This window comes from Homo sapiens, chromosome 2 (assembly GCF_000001405.40).
Source record: "Homo sapiens chromosome 2, GRCh38.p14 Primary Assembly".
Classification (NCBI taxonomy): Eukaryota; Metazoa; Chordata; class Mammalia; order Primates; family Hominidae; genus Homo; species Homo sapiens.
In genome coordinates, this window is record NC_000002.12 from 66,984,335 (window position 1) to 67,002,674 (window position 18,340).

General features: G+C 36.9%; 1 long non-coding RNA gene across 1 annotated transcript in view, besides 1 other annotated feature; it reads right to left on the reverse strand.

Moving 5' to 3' along the window:
• LOC105374785 (uncharacterized) overlaps positions 1-18,340 on the reverse strand; it is a 48,470-nt gene that overhangs the window by 17,691 nt on the left and 12,439 nt on the right. The gene's annotated exons all lie outside the window — the stretch shown is intronic.
• Positions 10,365-11,965: an enhancer, noted in NCBI's record as "HHc2:066104 HCNR fragment used in the ZED reporter construct". NCBI's record gives its function as "activates a minimal GATA promoter in forebrain, hindbrain, eye, branchial arches, neural tube and otic vesicles of 24-48 hpf transgenic zebrafish embryos {active_cell/tissue: forebrain | hindbrain | eye | branchial arch | neural tube | otic vesicle}" and the evidence as "EXISTENCE:transgenic organism evidence [ECO:0001131][PMID:22448256]".

Genomic DNA, 18,340 nt, shown 5'->3' on the forward strand with positions numbered 1-18,340 from the left:
GAAAAATATGAGTAACATAGTCCATGGTGGCAAGTTGCATATCTATCCACTTGGTGACTGATGCGTATTCTTTGGACTTTAGCTACCAATGTTTTCTTTCAACTTAATATATCCATCATATTTCCTACTCATTGTATTATGTGAATTTATGTTTTGAGGAGATTTGTCAAAAAAAAAAAAACAAAACAAGAGAATAACATTCAGACCAGTTAACCTGTTATTCTTGACTCTCAAAAGCCTGGCTGTAGTTGAAGATAAGTCAATTGAACAGACATGCATTGAGCATGTAGCAAAGTGTTGAAGAGGGTGTGTTGTTGAAGCAGATCATTTACTTTCAAATCTCAGCTCCGTAATTCTAGCTGTGTGCCTTAGATGCATGGCTTACCTAACTTTTTCTCACCTGAAAATGGGAATAGTAACAGTTTCAATCTCATAGGACGGTTACGAAGATTAAATAATTTTTTGAGAGGTGGTGCAAGTACTGACACATAGTAAGTGTTAATGTTTTCTTTATTATCATTGTTATCATCATCATCATCATCATACCAATCACATGCCAGTCCCATAGCTAGTGCTAAATATTTATTGAATTCCTTGTACAATTGAATTCCTTGTACAAACTAGGCATTGTTCTAGGTGTTGGGGATGTAACAGTGAAAAGATAGACTAAGCCTCTGCCATCATTATGTCATATTAGTCATTGGTTTATTCAACAAATATTCACTGAGGGCCTTTGATGTACCAGGCACTTCTAGGTACTATGACAGCTGTTTATTAAGACTGAAAAATCCCTGCTCTCATAAACTTATGTTTAGTCATTTAGGTGTGGTCTTTTCATCTAAACTATGTGTTTCTTGGGGCCAGTAACTATATCTTAATTATCCTGTATCCCAAGAGCCTACAAAAGGATTATCACATAGAGACTTATTTCATAAATATTAAATTAGTAAATGCATGAATGAATGAAAAAAAATGAAATGAACACCTATGTTCACTAGGCACAAATAAGTTAGCATTAACTAATTTTGAATGAAGTTGAAATCAACCATCCTTGTCAGAATCACGTCACACACCATTCCATGAGATTCCTATTGAGGAACGTAACACCCACCCTACTTCTGAATTTGGAAGCTCAGTTTTCACAGGCAGCAAGTATGGCAAGAGGGAATAAAATCCTCACAAGAAACAAGATTCCAAAGGAATATATTAAACAGAACATTAGGACTCTGCACAATTTGCAGCAATAGAGATTCCAGCTAAATTTCTCAATTCAGCTTTGCTTTCTATTCGAAGTAGCAATGAAATCATGAAAAGTGTAAAAGATGTGGAATGATAAAAACAACCTGGAGACCATGTCTAAAAAACCTTTAGAAGTCTTTGCAAATTAATTAATAATGATTTTGTTCTGCTTGAAATAAAAATGGAGAGATTATATCTAATAACACTTTGTGATATGTAGAAAATAAAGAAGGACAATAACCATGCCCCCGTCCTTGAAAGAGCACCTATTGTAATTAGGTGAGATAATAAAGTTTGCGCAGGATGAAGGCCATGTTCAGGTATTGGGAAGAGCAGGAGAAAGGGGAGAAATTTGGGATTTTTCTCAGGCCTGACTTGAGGAAAACTTGAACACTTCAGATGCTTTATGAAAGCCTAGAGTATATTGCTCAATTTGGAAGATGTTTCTTTAAACAGCTTCAGAAATATAATCTGACCCATTTTCCTCAGCCATGCTTATGGGAAAGCTTATCAACAAAACGGTTTTATAGGGAAATGTTTCAGAGACCTTCTGGCTGCCCCCACATGCAAATCATCAGGCAGCATGCACTTGGAGAACAAGAATATAATCAATTGCACAATGAAACATTTCCATTTCTCCTCTTGAACAGAAAAGAAGGAGCTAAAAATGTCCCAAATCCTAGAAACCTCACCAGTAAAGTAAGAATCATGTAAAGTTTTCACTAAGGCTTAGGAAAGATGTTTAATCACATTAACCTCTATTGATACAGTGCTTGGTATAAAATTACATTCTATAGTATTGTCCTAAATTTCTAGAGAGGAAAAAAAAAACCCAATCCTGGTTGCTATTTTTCCTTAGGTAAATAAGTTAAGGTCATGTGGATAAGTAGAAAATGAGAAGCTTCGACCATAGCCTGGTGACTATACCTTGTGTGTGTGTGTGTGTGTGTGTGTGTGTGTGTGTGTGGTTTGGAAGATGCTTTAAGATTCAAATACTGATTATGGGAACTACAGGAAATTCTTTACATGTAGTCAGATTGGAAATGTGACAGACACTGTTTGGGTAAGACAATACAGCTAATATGTCCCTATGGTAAGATGGTCACAGCATGCAAAGTTTGAATTTTTGGGCTTCATCTTAACCCAAGGACCAAGCATATATTGTGCTTGCTGGTCAGAGAAAAACAAACAAACAAAAAAGAAATTGCCTAAAAGGAAATCTACCTTATCCTGAGATAAAATGTACATGAAATAGGGTTATAACAAGATTTACATTCTATAATCATTAGGAATAAAGGGAATATTTGCAGATCTATCTTCCTAAAGAACAAATTGAAAAACTTTTCTGATAAAATCTTTCCACACTGTGATATTCAGTTCTGTCAGATACCACAGAAAAATGATGGCAAGTGAGCATATCTATCGACTTGGTGACTGATGTGTATTCTTTGGACTTCAGATACCGATGTTTTCTTTCAACTTAATATATCAATTATATTTCCTACCCATTGTATTATGTGAATTTATGTTTTGAGGAGATCAGCAAAAACTCCAGAAAAACAGCTTGTTTGGGGATATCATTTTTAAAATGACTTCTAGAGAGAGGATATTGCTATCTGGGAATTAATTTTGTGCTGATAGTTTTAAACACATACACAAATATACACACAGAGCAGGAAAAGTATAGGTTTGATTGTTGCTATTAATATTTAAAATCATCCACAGATTTAATTGACTCACCATCATCTTCTTTTTGAGCCACTGTGCCACTGATATTCAGATATGTCAGTTATTTCAAGGGTTTTTTTTTCATATGCATTATAGCTTATACATAAAAACAAATGGAAAATAGTTGTCTAGGAAGATTAATATAATTCAACTGTGATGTATGTGAGAAAAATCTACTGGTCTAACTTTTTCAGCATGGAGGTATAATGACTCTTTTTCCTTTCTTAATAAGAAAGAAGACATTTGTGATTTTGGGTGGATGCTGATTGCAAACTCTTCTAGTGAGAAAGCATCATGCCAGCTGGGAAGTACTCCCACTGGACTTTGCTGCTACCTGGAAAAGAAAGCTTACAATGGATACGTGAAGATCAAAGTGGTTGTGTTATCAAACAATTATGGACTAGTCAGAAAGTGACTTTGGAAAAAAGCTTGAATTTAGAAATGGGGAGTCATTAGCAAAGGCTGCCTGAATTATCCTGATGTATCACAGGCAGAACAGAGCCACTGCTGCTGACAGCACAAGAGGTTTCTTACAACAATCTTTGGACAGAGTACTATGGTCAGAAAAAGATAATAAAGAGGCTAGAACATGCACCATCTGGTCTAACAGAAGGGAAGATGGAAAACATCAACGGGGAGTTAGAATTGTTATGGAAAGCCAGACGGTGAAGCATTGATTAAGATTATTTCGTTGATTACGTGATATCTCATGATTTATGCCATGGACAAGGAAAAGCAAATCACTTTTTTGTGTGTGTGCCTGTGAAACCAGGGTATGCTATAGAGCTAAAATTGTTTGAGACCCTGGGAGCTTCAGAAAAATCTCCCTGTCATGGCATAGGAGGCCAAACTAAGAACCTAGGCTCCCTGAAAACATGAGAACTCTTTTTCTAGTGCGGTAGAAAAGGTGTGGTGATCCAACTGGTTCTAAAGTGTTGGCAGACGGCTGGGTAGCAGTGGGGTAGGATATTACAGAGGGGCTTCTTCTTTTTTTTTTTTTCCAAAGAACTCATCGTTGCTGACTTTATAAAGGAAAACCAAGCCAATCAGGCTAAGAGGCTAGATCTAATGAAACCTACCAGATCAGGTGCCATTTGGGGCATTGCTTACTCAGATTAGAAGCCAGTGTATGAGAAAATGTATCAGATGCTTGCCCTCAGAAATTTCCAAGGTTTTTTAGGATAAGCCGAGGCATAGTCTCTCAATTTCATTTCTCTCTTTTTTTTTTTTTTTTGAGACGGAGTTTCACTCTTGTTGCCCAGGCTGGAGTGCAGTGGCACAATATCAGCTCACTGCAGCCTCCACCTCCCCGGTTCAAGCAATTCTCCTGCCTCAGCCTCCCAAGTAGCTAGGATTACAGGCGCCTGCCACCACGCCTGGCTAATTTTTGTATTTTCAGTAGAGACAGGGTTTTGCCATGTTAGGCAGACTGATCTTGAACTCCTGGCCTTAGGTGATCTGCCTGCCTCGGCCTCCCGAAGTGCTGGGCTTACAGGTGTGAGCCATCGCACCTGGCCTAAAATGGATTTCTTATGTGCAGTTTTCATAGTACTCTGTCTCCTTTAATCCCTCTCTCTCTCAATAGTATTCTCTGTCCTTATCAATAGAAGTATTTTCTTCACAATTGCGAAGGTTCACGATGTTCATTTTCAATCCGCAGGATGAAACAAAATACCTTAGCGCTTAGCGATTGTCACACCCCTGTTCTTCCTGTTTACTAAGCACTTGCACGTGACTTCTTCCCAGACATCAGAACCAGCCTTTGTTATAGGCTTACCATGGGCCAGGAGCTTTGCAAAACTCTTATATACATTAGTCTTTATTTAGTTTGATCTCGAAAGAATTCTGTGAGAAGGAACTATGTTTTATGCCCATTTAAAATATACGTATAAGGAAACTGAGGCTTTCCTTAAGACTATCAGCTAATATGTGGTGGAGTCCAAATTTTAAAAGTCAGTCTGATTTCCAAGCCTTTACTCTTAACCATTGCTCTTTGCCGCCTTGAACATTTCTCTCAAATATATTATCTCAGTCTTAAAGCTGAAGGAGCGAAAGTTCAGAAAGGGTGGTGTTCTTGATTAAGCATTGGAATGGGACTTAACTCAAAAGCTTGGGCTGAAAATCCAGCTTCTTCCCCCTCTACCATCCTGCTGCTATACATTTTCCCAAAAAATAACAAACATATCCTCTGAGAGGGAATATCAAGCTGTGTCTTCTCTCTCCCTTGGATATCTCATTTTATGAGAAGGGAGTTGCTTCATGATTCAAACCTGTCCTTTGCCATTTTACAAGAGATTTGTCACATGGAAGTATTTGTAAGTTTTTAACTAATCACTAGAAGATATTTGAAACACCCATTTTGCTTCTTGATGACAGAAAATACTAACTTCTTATACTAAGTATTACATATTTTAAATTGAAAGCTGGAGTTTGAGTATGGACAACTGTGTCTTTCTTTTACTGGAAGTTCAATCTGGGCAAGAATCATGAAGGATGCACTTATGATGTCATGGGTTAAGTATCTAGCTCATCAGTGAGAGGGCACATGTAGGTATATACATTTGCTTCCCCATTTCATCCCAAACAGTTACAAAGGGATAGTATGGGGTATCAAAAATGTTACCTTCTGTAATTCATAAAGTTGCACTAAATAGAATTATCACCTTGAAATTACAGGGTAAAACTCCCTATACAAAAACAGATTAAAGACAAATTAGACTGTGGGCCAGGTCACTCTGATTGTTAATTAGTGATAATGGAAATACAATTAGCATAATGAGTTCCAATTACTGTATATGGAGAAATATGAGCATACTGCTTTCATAAATCTTGGTTCCAGGAAAAATAAAATGCATCTGGTTTAACAAAGCATGTCCTTCTCTTCTGCAGAAAGCTTCCTGGTAAATAGCTTTTTGTGAAGCTAAATCCTTCTTCTGATGGGTTGTGATTTAAAAATAAAATAAAAAAAGGCAACAGAATGGATTTGCCCCATCTGATAGCTGAGCAGTTTTGTATTAGCTCAGCTTCTGTTTTAAGCTTCCTAGAAAATCTAACCATCTGTTTCTCCAATAGCGGGTTAAAAACATTGGGGAGAATCATAGACCATCACATCAAATGTGGTTATTGTCTTTGAAATGTCGGTGAGCCCTCCTTTATGCCTTTGATAAGCTGTGAAATCAGAAAGCCAATTACAGTCACATATTTACACAAATCTGAACAGCTTTTTGAAAACTCTGTGTAAGAATGAGTGGATGAGAAACAACAGCTTTACGCTGAGCTTTGGTAGCATGCCTGTGGGTGTGTTAATGAAGTTATTTTTAAGAGTTGCACTACAAGGTCTGTATATTTACTTTCACCTTGGTCTTACACTGTCTCAACTTTTCACTGCAGGCATTGATTAGTCTTAACTTTTGCAGAAGGTCCATCAGCTGATAGCACAATATGCCAGTTCTGTTGTCTTCTCTCTTCTATTCTCTCCTGCTACCTCTCATGCGATGAATGCTCAACTGTTGACAGATTACATTCCAAGACTGGTTAAAACCCAGGCCATTTGGACAATGAATAGTAATGAATGTGGACTGCTCAGCCCACACAGGTGACATTACACCTTACACTGGGGGAATGTGCCATCTTCCTTGTTGTACCCTGTAAATCTGATAGATGCTATTAACCTTTTCAGTGAATCCCCATGGATCACTGCAATGGCAAATCTCAGTAGTAATTGCTAAGACAAAAATGCCCCAGCATGCCTATATTCTCTGTAAGGATCTATGAAACAGGCAAGTTGGCTACTCAAGTGCCTTTTCCCCAACTGCTGTCTTGATTTACTTTCAGCTGTCAGTCTGCACCCAGACAATGGTGCTTCCGAATCTTTCAAACAAGCACAAGTAGCAGATCTTGCAAAGTACTTAGAGCAATTCAAGTCTCTTCTTTTTTACATGAACAGGATTTTGCTACAGAGGAGAACAGTGTATATCTTGACCGGGGGATCTACTATAATTAGCTGAGTTCATTAAGGAGAAACCTCCCTGTCCTAACCTTATGATTCACAGCACAGTTCCCATCTGGGCTTTGATTGTGGTTGTCATATTTTCAACCTAGTCAAGTCTCCTCAGTCTTTCTGGATGCATTTGTAAACTGGATTATTCAATAAAAGAAATGCTTGTCAGACATCATTGTCCGTCAGCGGTTTGAGTTGCTTCCTCTAAAAATGGCTTTCACACTACTACTATCTCTCCTTGAAACAGACACACATGCGTGCATGTGCACGTAAACACATAGGAATGGAATCCATATGATCATTGACTCTCTGTCAGCCCATATTTATTATGGAGGCATGGTAGAGCTTAAAAAGACAAGCTTCTCTCCCTAATATTTTTAATATTAAAGTATATATTAGATCTGTACTACTTTATAGATTTCAACAAGGAAAGGTGATGCATTTAGAGGCACATTGGGTATCCTGGAAAGAAGACAGATGTCCTGGGTCCTGGAAAGTGTTGCATTGACAGGCATAAAAATGTGTACTTGATAAATTCTGATTATAATTGATACTTGATAAATAACTCTGGCAGGGTCTCAGGCAATCATTGAAACTCTCTGGGCCTCTTCCTACTTATAGTATGAGGAATTTTGCCTAGATGTTCTCTGAGTTTTCTTTCAACTCTAACATTTTATGATTCTAAAGGACAAACCCACAAACCAGGAGATATAACATAAAGAAAGCAATACCCACCTGTATCATTTAGAATTAGATTTAGATTTAGCTATGCCTAACAGAAGAGCCCCATATAGAGTAGAGACTCATATCTCTAGCAAGGTTTGGTAGTCCTCAAAAGGCCTCCAGCCTCAAAGACTCATTGTTCAAGATGGCAAGTAGGTGCTCCAGTCATCACATGTATATTCCACACAAAAGGAGACATACAGGTTGAGGATAAAACAGTGAACCACCTCCATACTCAGTGTTTTAAGGAACTTTCCAGGAATCCCGACCCAATGACTTCTGTTTATATCTTATTGGCATATGTAGTTGTGAAGAAGGCCAGAAAATGGAGTATTTTAACTGGTACATTGCCTCCCAGAATAAACCCAGGTCCTATTAGTAAGGAAGAAAAGAGGAATAGATTCTAGGCAGGCAACTGGTAGTATCTGCCATGTAATCCATTTCTCCTTCATTTAAAATATTTTTGTACTATGGTCCCTGGTCCTAGAAAAGAGTCTCTCCAAAATAAAGAAATAATTTATTTTCATTTTGTGACCATGGCTGTGATGATGGATGATCAAGTCCCATCCAACCTGAAACTTATTCCTTGAAAACCAAGTAGGAGGAATTCTGTTATATAGTCTATCACAATGCAAATTTAGAAGTTCATTCACATTTTTTAAAATAATCCCCTTTTGTAGATGACATTAAAAGTGAAAATAAACATTTTTGGTGTGTGGTTTTTTTTTTACACAAAGTTAACAAGGAAGTCATATTTAATTGAAAATCAGTAAGTTCAAAAGTTGAGTCTTTCTTTTAAAATTAACTGTATTTATGAAAAACCAATAGATTTTTTTCACAACTAATGTCTTTAGATTAAAAAAGAAAGCAAAGTGTTTATTTTGCTATTGTCAATATCTACTTGAATAAAAAAGTTTAATGAGCTTTCACTTTTAACACAAAAAGATTCTTCTTGTTTTTGTATGAAATAAGAAAAATTGAAAGTGGACTTCTATTACACAGCAGTCAATCTTCTACCAGAAGACTAATTTTTGTTCCCCCAAATCTGACGATGTCATATTTATTTCAGAAATATTAAAGTGTGAGCAGGCCACACAGGCAACAGCTTACCAGTCTCTGAATTTCAAATTAATTTTACCTCTTGGTGGTTGATTTTTAAGGATTCCCACTGATTTTTACCCCATTTGTCATTCCCAGGTATATAGCAAAACAGAGAAGAATAAATGTGAATGGCACACCCAGTGGAATTATTTTATAGAGGTCGAACCTTGTGGGGACTTAAGTCTCTTGAGGTTGTATTGGTAAAATGGGATGGCATGGAAGATTCTAAGGTGATCTTTTGTACTGGCCTATAGTGCCTCCTAAATCAGTTTTCTGAAAACAAAAAAAGCTTTCAGAAAACAAAATCACAATCAGCTTTTTGCCATGCAATGAAAAACTACATTTAGCATCCTTGAATATTTTGGATGAGTCAATACAGAATATCAGTTAAGGATTTAGGTTGCAAACAAAATAATCCAAGCCTGGCTAACCTAACCAAAAGTGAATTTATTGGAAGGATAACAGGTGACTCGCAGAATTCAGTGCAGGAATAGAGAACCAGGCTCCTAACACAGACAAATCTAAGAGTGAAGAGATGGTGGCAGCAAGAACCATGCACCTGTCTCATCTGCTACCATCATTGAATGAATGAACTTCAGCTGTTTTTCAATGTTTGCTTTCTTCCATTTAGAGATAATGTCTAAGGACAGAGAATCTGCTTGGCCTCGCTAAGGGACATGTCCACTTCTTGGCTGAATGAGGACTTGACGGTGCACTTTGATTAACAGCAATCTTTGTACTACACAAATGGAGTTGAGGCAACTCCCTCGAAGGGTACTGCTTTTGTCTGAAATGGGATGAATGGGTGTTGTAGTTTTCTCTAAAAACCAAAGCTATCATAACCATGCTTCTTAGACTTTAATGTGCATATGAATTTTCTGGGTTTCTTATTAAATTTCACACTCTGACTCAATAGGTTGGGTCTGAAGCCAGATTCTACATTCCTGGAAAACACCCAGGTGATGTTGCTGACAGGCTTGTGGCTCACCGTTTGAGTAGTAAGCCTTTATAATCGTGAGCACTGGGAAGATAATTAGTTTTACATTTCTTAATCCATATATATTTATCTTTGTTTTAATTGGGGTATAATTACATAAATTAATGAATAGATAAAATGAGTTGAACTTAAGTCCAAAATTTAACTCGTCTATATGCACCCATGTAAGGAACGCCAAGCATCCCTCCCAGGAGATTTTCCTCCTGTCTCTTTTTTGTGTCCCCCTCTACCCTCAGAGAGAACCACTATTCTGATTTCTATTACCATCGACTAGTTTTGCCTGTTCTTGAACTTTATTTAAATAGAATCACATAAGGATGTACTCTTTTGTGTCTAGCTGATCTTGTTCAACATAATGTTTGTGAGATCTATCAACGTACTTGCATCTATGATTCATTCCTTGGTATTGTCGATTAATAGTTCATTCTGTGAATATGCTGCCAGGTTTACTACTTCTTTTGATGGGCATTTGGCTCCCATCCACATTTTTGCCATTATGAATAAAACTGCTGTGAACATTCTTGGACAAGTCTTTTTTGTGAACATATACTTTTCATTTCTTCAAGGTAAGTACCCAGAAATGAAATGCTTGGGTCATAAAATATGTGTGCATTTGGCTTTGTAAGAGACTAGAAAGTAGTTCTCCACAGTGGTTGTACCACTTTACACTCCTACCAGCAGTGTCACAGTGTGTGAGAGAATTCTAGTTGTTTTGCATTTGGTGTTGATGGTCTTTTTAATTTTAGCCATTCCAGTGTAGTGATAACTCATTGTGGTTTTAATTTGCACATCCTTGATGACAATCCATGTTGAGTCTCTCAGCACAAACATGTTTTCTTTTAATCTTTTACTGAATCTCATTTCCACCTTTAAAATACAATCTGCCTTTGAATCTAAGAAACATTTCGTTTACAACCTCACCACATGATGGAATTTCAGCTTGATTCTTACTTGCTCTTTTAGATTATGCTTACCTCCCACAATTATTCCTGAGAATTTTGGTTCTGAGTATCTGAGCATGGGCTGGCAGACATAGTAACAATATTTTCTCATGAAATAATGCTCAGTTCTTTCTCTGATGGTATTTAAATTTGCCATCCCAGGCTCTTGTACTCAAATATATTGATAGTGTCCCATGTGTGTTCCCTGACACTTGGGTGTAATTGTGGTGAACTTTGAATTCCCATCTTAAGGTCAGTTATTAACTATTGATGGATTCTCCTTTTCTCCACTTAATGCTAAAGTATTCATACTAACCAAGACAGATGGGAATGGCTAAGGAGTTTTTCAATGCCATTGCTGTGTAAGCTGTCTTTTGCTTCCCTCATGTGAGAAACTCAAAGCTCTTTTGTAGAGAAGATCATTTATTCAAGGTAAAGGGGAAAAAAAAGGAAAAGAAAGAAAGCTCCCGCATATATTCTGAAAACCCCCCAGTTTTCAAAGCCCCATATACTTTTGCTGGAACAGAGTTTTCTGGTCATTAAGGAGGAGAAAATGGCATCTTTGACAACAATCTTGGCTGACCCACTTTGGAGCCAAATGGGATCCAGGTGTAAGAAGGATGGCCAGGACTTCAACATCCCGGACAAGACACCCTGACAAACAACGGCACCGTTTTTGGATTTCCCAGGAGGCAGAAGAGTGCCCTGTGAGATTTATAAACACATCCACAATAAATGGGAGGCTGAAGTTTAAACTGTTATGGAGCCTCCTGTGCTGTGCTGCCAAGGTCTCCTGTGATTTAGAGAGGTGACATTTACTGTGTGCAGACCTATTATTCAGAGTGACTGTGTATAGACAATATTTTAAAATGGCTTGCTGTAGATGAAAAATTCTTATTAAGTCAGAAAAACAGTTTAAGTAGGTAACACTCTCTCAGTTTAGTCTGCTATAAGTCTTACTGTCTTGCCACATGGAAAGTGCTTGGGGTGGGAGGTAGTGACACCTCACAGGTGCTGGCTAAAATACTATTTCCGGAGCAAACAGAATCAAGGCATCAGCTGGGACCAAGGCACTAATTGCACATCTGAAGTTAAACTCGGAGGCATTTTTTTCAGGTTTCTTCCCTTCAATGCAGTTTTCCTTTAGTACTGATGCAATGCCATGGTTCAACAAATAGTGCATGGTAGAAAGAACACTGAGAGTCTAGAAACTAGGGAAGTAGGTTCTGCCACACTCTAGTAGTGTGTTCTCATAGATGTTCATTAACTACCATGATCCTTGGTTTCTCTAATCTGCAAAATTTAAGGATTGGGTAAGGTAATTTCTAAAATCTCTACAAGACATGTCTCTTTTTTGTTGCCTACTTTTAGAGAGGAGTGCCTGCCAGCCTCTGGTGGCTGTATAGTACTTTATGGGCCAGCAAGAGCATTTCTACATCATCACTTTTTCTCATTTAAACTCCATGTAGTCCTGAGAAGGAGGCAGAGAAATTATTGTTGTGCCATTTCTTCAAGTGAGAAAACTGAGGCTCAGAGAGGTTAGGTGACATGGCCAAGATCACATGGCTGGAAAACCCCCCCAACCCCACAGTTCGCCTCTTAGTCCAAGACTCTGTGTCATCACGTTTCTTATACTTCTGCCTGCCATAAGATCTCTGGAAATGGTTGCATGTGGTTCACCAGGAGAAAATAATTGCTGCAATAGAGATATGAATGGAGAGGGGTAAGAGGACAGACATAGACCCTCTTTTCAGAAATCTTCCAGGACAGACTGAAATGTTTCTGCCTAATCAAACTCTACCTATTGTTCCTTTCATTTTAGATTCAGAAGGTACATATGTAGGTTTGTTACATGAGTATATTGTCCAATGCTGGGGTTTGGGCTTCTATTTACCCATCACCCATATAGTGAGCATAGTAACCAATAGGTAGTTTTTCAATCCTTGCCTCCCTCACTCCCTCCCCTATTTTTGAGTCCCCAGTGTCAATTGTCTCCATCTTTATGCTCATGATACCCATTGCTTAGGTCCCACTTATAAGTGAGAACATGCAGTATTTTTTTTTCTGTCCCTGTGTTAATCCACTTACGATAATGGCCTCCAGCAGCATCTATGTTGATGCAAAGGACATGATTTAATCATTTTTTTTGGTGGCTACCTAGTATTCCATGCTGCATATGTATCATATTTTCTTTATCCAATCCACTGTTGATGGATACTTAGGATGATTCTGTGATTTGCTGTTGTGAATAATGCTGCAATAAAGATATGAGTACAGGTGTCTTTTTGATAAAATGATTTATTTTCCTTTGGTTATGTACCCAGTAATGGGATTGCTACATTGAATGGTAGTTCCATTTTTCATTCTTTGAGAAATCTGTATACTGTTTTCCATAAGAGTTGAATTAATTTTTTTTCCCACAAACAATGTATCAGTGTTCCCTTGTCTCTGCATCCTCACCAACATCTGTTATTTTTGCACTTTTTAATAATAGCCTTTCTGACTGGTGTGAGATGGTACCTCATGGTGGTTTTAATTTGCATTTCTTTGATGATTAGTGATGTTGAGCATTTTTTCACGATTGTTGGCTGCTTGTATGTCTTCTTTTGAGAAGTATCTGTTTATGTCCTTCCCTACTTTTTAAAGGGGTTGTTTGTTTCTTTTTCTTGTTGGTTTGTTTAAATTCCTTATAGATTCTGGATATCAGTCCTTTGTCAAATGCATAACTTGCAAATATTTTCTTCCATTCTGTAGGTTGTCTGTTTATTGACTTTCTTTTGCTGTGCAGAAGCTCTTTAGTTTAATTATTTGTCAAGTTTTGTTTTTATTGCATTTGCTTTGAGGTCTTAGTCATAAATTCTTTGTCTAGGCAAATGTCCAGAATAATTTTTCCCAGGTTTTCTTCTAGGATTTCTATAGTTTGAAGTCTTATATTTATATTTAAGTCTTTAATCTGTTTTGAGTTAATTTTTGTATACGGTGAGAGGTGGGAGTCTAGTTTCATTCTTCTGTGTATATATGGCTAGCCAGCTATCCTAGGGCTATTTATTATACAGGGTGTCCTTTCCCCACTGTTTATTTTAGTCAACTTTATCAAAGATCAGTTGGTTGTAAGTATGTGTCTTTATTTCTGTGTTCTCTATTCTGTATGGTCTTTATGTCTATTTTTATACTAGTACCATGCTGTTTTGGTTCCTACAGCCTTGTAGTAGTATAGTTTGAAGTCAGATAATGTGATAGATCTAGCTTTGTTCTTTTTGGTTAGGATTGATTTGGCTATTCAGGCTCTTTTGGTTTCATATGAATTTCAGAATTTTTTTCTAATTCTGTGAAAAATGACTTTGATGATTTGACAGAAATTGCATTGAATCTGTAGATTGCTTTGAGCAGTATAATCATTTTAATGACACTGATTCTTCCAATCCATGAGCATGGAATATTTTTCCATTTGTTTGTGTCACCTATGATTTATTTCATCTGTGTTTTGTAGTTCTCCATATAGAAATCTTTCACCCCCTTGGTTAAATGTATACCTAGGTGTTTGTGGTGTGTGTGTGTGTGTGTGTGTGTGTGTGTGTGTGTGTGTGTGTCTACTGTAAATAGAATCAAGTTATTTATTTGGTTTTTGACTTGAATGTTACTGGTGTATAAAAATACTACTAATTTTTGTATATTGATTTTGTATCCTGAAAGTTTACTGAAGTCATTTATCAGGTCTAGGAGTCTTTTGGAAGAATCTTTAGGGTTTTCTAGATATAGAATTATGTTTTTGGTAGACAGAGGTAATTTGACTTCCTCCCTTCCCATTTGGATGCCTTTTATTTCTTTCTCTGGCCTAATTGCTCTGGCTAGGACTTTCAGTACTATGTTGAATGGGAGTGGAAAGAGTGGACGTCTTTGTCTTGTTCCAGTTCTTAAGGGAAATATTTTCAACTTTTTCTCATTCAGTATGATGTTGGCTGAGGGTTTGCCATAGATGGCTCTTACTATTTAGAGGTATGTTCCTTTGATGCCTAGTTTGTTGAGGGGTTTTTATCATGAAGGGATGTTGGATTTTATCAAATGCTTTTTCTGTGCTTAGTGAGATGATCATATGGGTTTTGTTTTTAATTGTTTATGTGGTAATTCACATTTATTGATTTGCATATGTTGAACCACCCTTGCATCCCAGAAAAAAGTCCCCTTGATTGTGATAAAATCCTGAACAGACCAATAATGAGTTAGGAAAGTAAATTAGTAATAAAAATCTACCAACCAAAAAAGGCCCTGGACCAAACAGATTCACAGTTGAATTCTACCAAAAGTATAGAGAATAGCTGGTACCAATCTTACTGAAACTATTCCAAAAAATAAAGGGTAGGAATTCCTCCCTAACTTATTCAACAAAACCAGTGTCATCCTGATACCAAAATCTGGCAAGGCACGACAACAACAAAAAAACTACAGGCTGATATCCCTGATGAACCCAGTCATAAAAATCCTCAACGAAATGCTAGCAAACCAAGTCCAGCAGCACATCTACCTATTTTGAAGTCCAAACTTGATTTTTTCCTCCCCTAAGGAGCCTGTCCTAACCCTATCGTCATTCCAGCCTGTAGGATTTCTCTTTTCTGAATTGCTGATTGAACTCCACTTCAGGATGGGTGCAAGAGACATGCTCTTCCCTCCTCTCTTTCACTTTAGTAAGTGCACATTATATTTCTTCTGATTTGTTAGTAAGCTCCATGTGAGCAGACTTCTGAATTTTATTAGTAGTTACACGTATTCATTCACAGTAAGGAATCAGTTAGTAATGTGATTCACTAATCAACTAAGGCACCTATATCACCTTGGGTAAGGGTAGTATCAAGACAGAATGTTACGCTCCTCTTTTTACATTAATGTAATTAGAAGCTGTGATATTACAGCCTTTTTCACCTAACAAACGTGTGGCCTTGTTTTCTCCTTCTCTGCCATCACCTCCATTATTTTTAAATCATAATACTTATTAATATAAGAACTTAAACTTTTTTATTTGTTCCTCTTTCTCCCAACTAGAATGTAAGCTCCATGAAGACGTAGTTTTTTATGAATTGTTCATTGTTGATTCTTCATACCAACAACAATGCACATTGTAGGTGCTCAATAAATACCCATTAAGTGAATGAATAAATGAATGCATTTCAGGGTTTGTGACCACAGCCTGTGACCTCCAGTTTGTGCCTCTATCCTTATTCCATAAATTTTGCATATCAATCAAGCACTTCATATTCTAAAAATTTGAACACTAATAAGCTATAACACTCGCCTTTTACAGTTTGTCTTTTTAAATTACTAAAGAAAGAGTAATCTTTGGGTACCATTAGGCATATCCATGATCATTATTTTGGTAAGAAATATAAATGATGTATTTTGTTTCAGATAAATCCTTTGTTTCTCCCATTACAATCCACTCTGGAAGTAGGTACTAAAGAGTTATTTCCTTCAAAATGATAGAACTTTCTCTGTTACTGATAAAATTAACTGTTATGTCAAAATTAATATCTAAACCAAACGTTAGCATAGCAGATTAATAATGAAAGCCTACCATAGAGCGTGAGCAATAGAGTCAAACTGCCAAGCTTGAATCTTTGTGTCTGCTGAATAGCTCTGCAACTTTGGACAAGAGATTCTATCTCTCCAAACCTCAGTTTCTTCCTTCATATGCAAAATGGATATAATAGTATCTATATCATGTGATTGTTGTGAAGATTAACTGAGGTAATCCTCTTATTTATTGACACACACAAAGATCTCAGTAAATGTTAGACATTACTATTACTACATGGAATTAGAAAAGTATTGCACAAAATTTAAATGCAAATAGTAATTATACTATAGTACTCTGCATTTTTATTTTATTCTCCTAGGATGCCTGATTGCTCCTGCTAATTTAGCAGTAACGACATTCAAAACATATGTTTGTTCTTCTAAGAATTAACAATAGACAGACATGATTATTTGTTGGCTTTGGTCTGTTTGGATCATTGTAATAGGTGCCCCATATGTAGAAAGTGCCATGAATTTCTACAGCTGATTAAAAATATAATTTTCTGAAGAGCCATGGTAAATCTCTTTTCCACAGACACCTTTTAATAAAAAACATAAATTATAAGCCTACTCTTATGCAAACAATATTGGCACAACAAGAAAATGATTAAGATGCAGACAGGGTAGGTCAAAACGACTATAAAAGGATTAATGCAGTTTGTTTGATGTATATTAAAACAGTTGGTAAAAGTTTAAGTAGCATTTTAATTTTTGGTGTCCACATACTTATGACCCATTCAAATCTTACCAAAAGCAAACAGAAAATTTTTTTGAAAGTACGAGTTCAATAGAAACCACTAGAGCATGTAAAATCTGTCTACCGCCACTATTTTATAAAAAAAAAGTTTCAAAATAAAAAGAAGAGCAGCTCTGACTGTTTTTAATTTATAAAATTAAGTAATAGCTATTTTCTTCCATATCTAACTTGATGTCTCTCAGATGTGGAACACCTTTAGTGATGCTTTTATTTTTCTCTTTGGCAACCCATGCTACACCTCATTTCTTGAGTCACTATGGCCTTGTGAGCAGCAATTGTCATGCAAAGTTGCAAAAATATTAAAAGAGGATTTCACATGACTTTATAAACTTCCTGGATGCACGTTTGGGTCTTTTGAACTAGTGGCAAACTCAAGTGCGATACCCCAGTTTGGCAGCAACATGGCGAGATCCCACCTCTGCTTGTTGATGTGAAACAGCACTCTTACAACTTCAGTTTCCTGATGCCTCACTAGGCCATGAGAACAAATGGGGTCATCTTAATGAAGTCTTGTAAAACAATAGCAAACCACATTTTACCCTGGCTCTTGCCATTATTTTTATGAAGCACATCTTCTTCAATATGCTGTATCTCAGAATTTGGGAGAAGCCTAAACTGTGTCTCATATCTGCTCCCACGTAAGTATGGTCAGTTATTACTGGTCATTACTTGAGCTTCCTCTGTGTTCCACTCAATCTGTCATCATGCACTGCTATGGCTTCTACCTCCTTCTCTCTCAAGGACCCAAATCTGAGTCTGCAGGACTAGATGGTGTACATGTTTACACTATGCCCCATTTGAAATTGGTGTTCCTAACAGTCAAAACTCAAGTGTTGTCTTGAGTGGCTCACCTTACCTGAATTGACTTCCAAGAGGCTTCTCAATTCCTTTATACTCTTAAACTTCGGACCTGTCTTGTCCATTTTCCAGAAATATATAATAATTAAAGACTATGTTGTGATCATTGTTATATCTGGAATTATGCACTTTTTATCAAGTTTTACTAATATCTTATATGCAACTATTGATATAATAAAATTTAACATCCAGGAAATGTATTGATCAACTAATTCCATAATGGTGCTAAGTAACAAGTTATCATAAACATAGTGGATTAAAAACAACAATAATTTATTCTCATTCATGCATCTCCTGTTGGGCTGGCAGTGAGAGTCAAGGTGGTTTGTAGGCTGAAACAGGCTTGGCTCAACTAAGCACGGTTCTGCTTTATACATCAGGTTCAAATCTTGTCTATATGTTTCCCATCCTCCTCAGATTAGTAAACT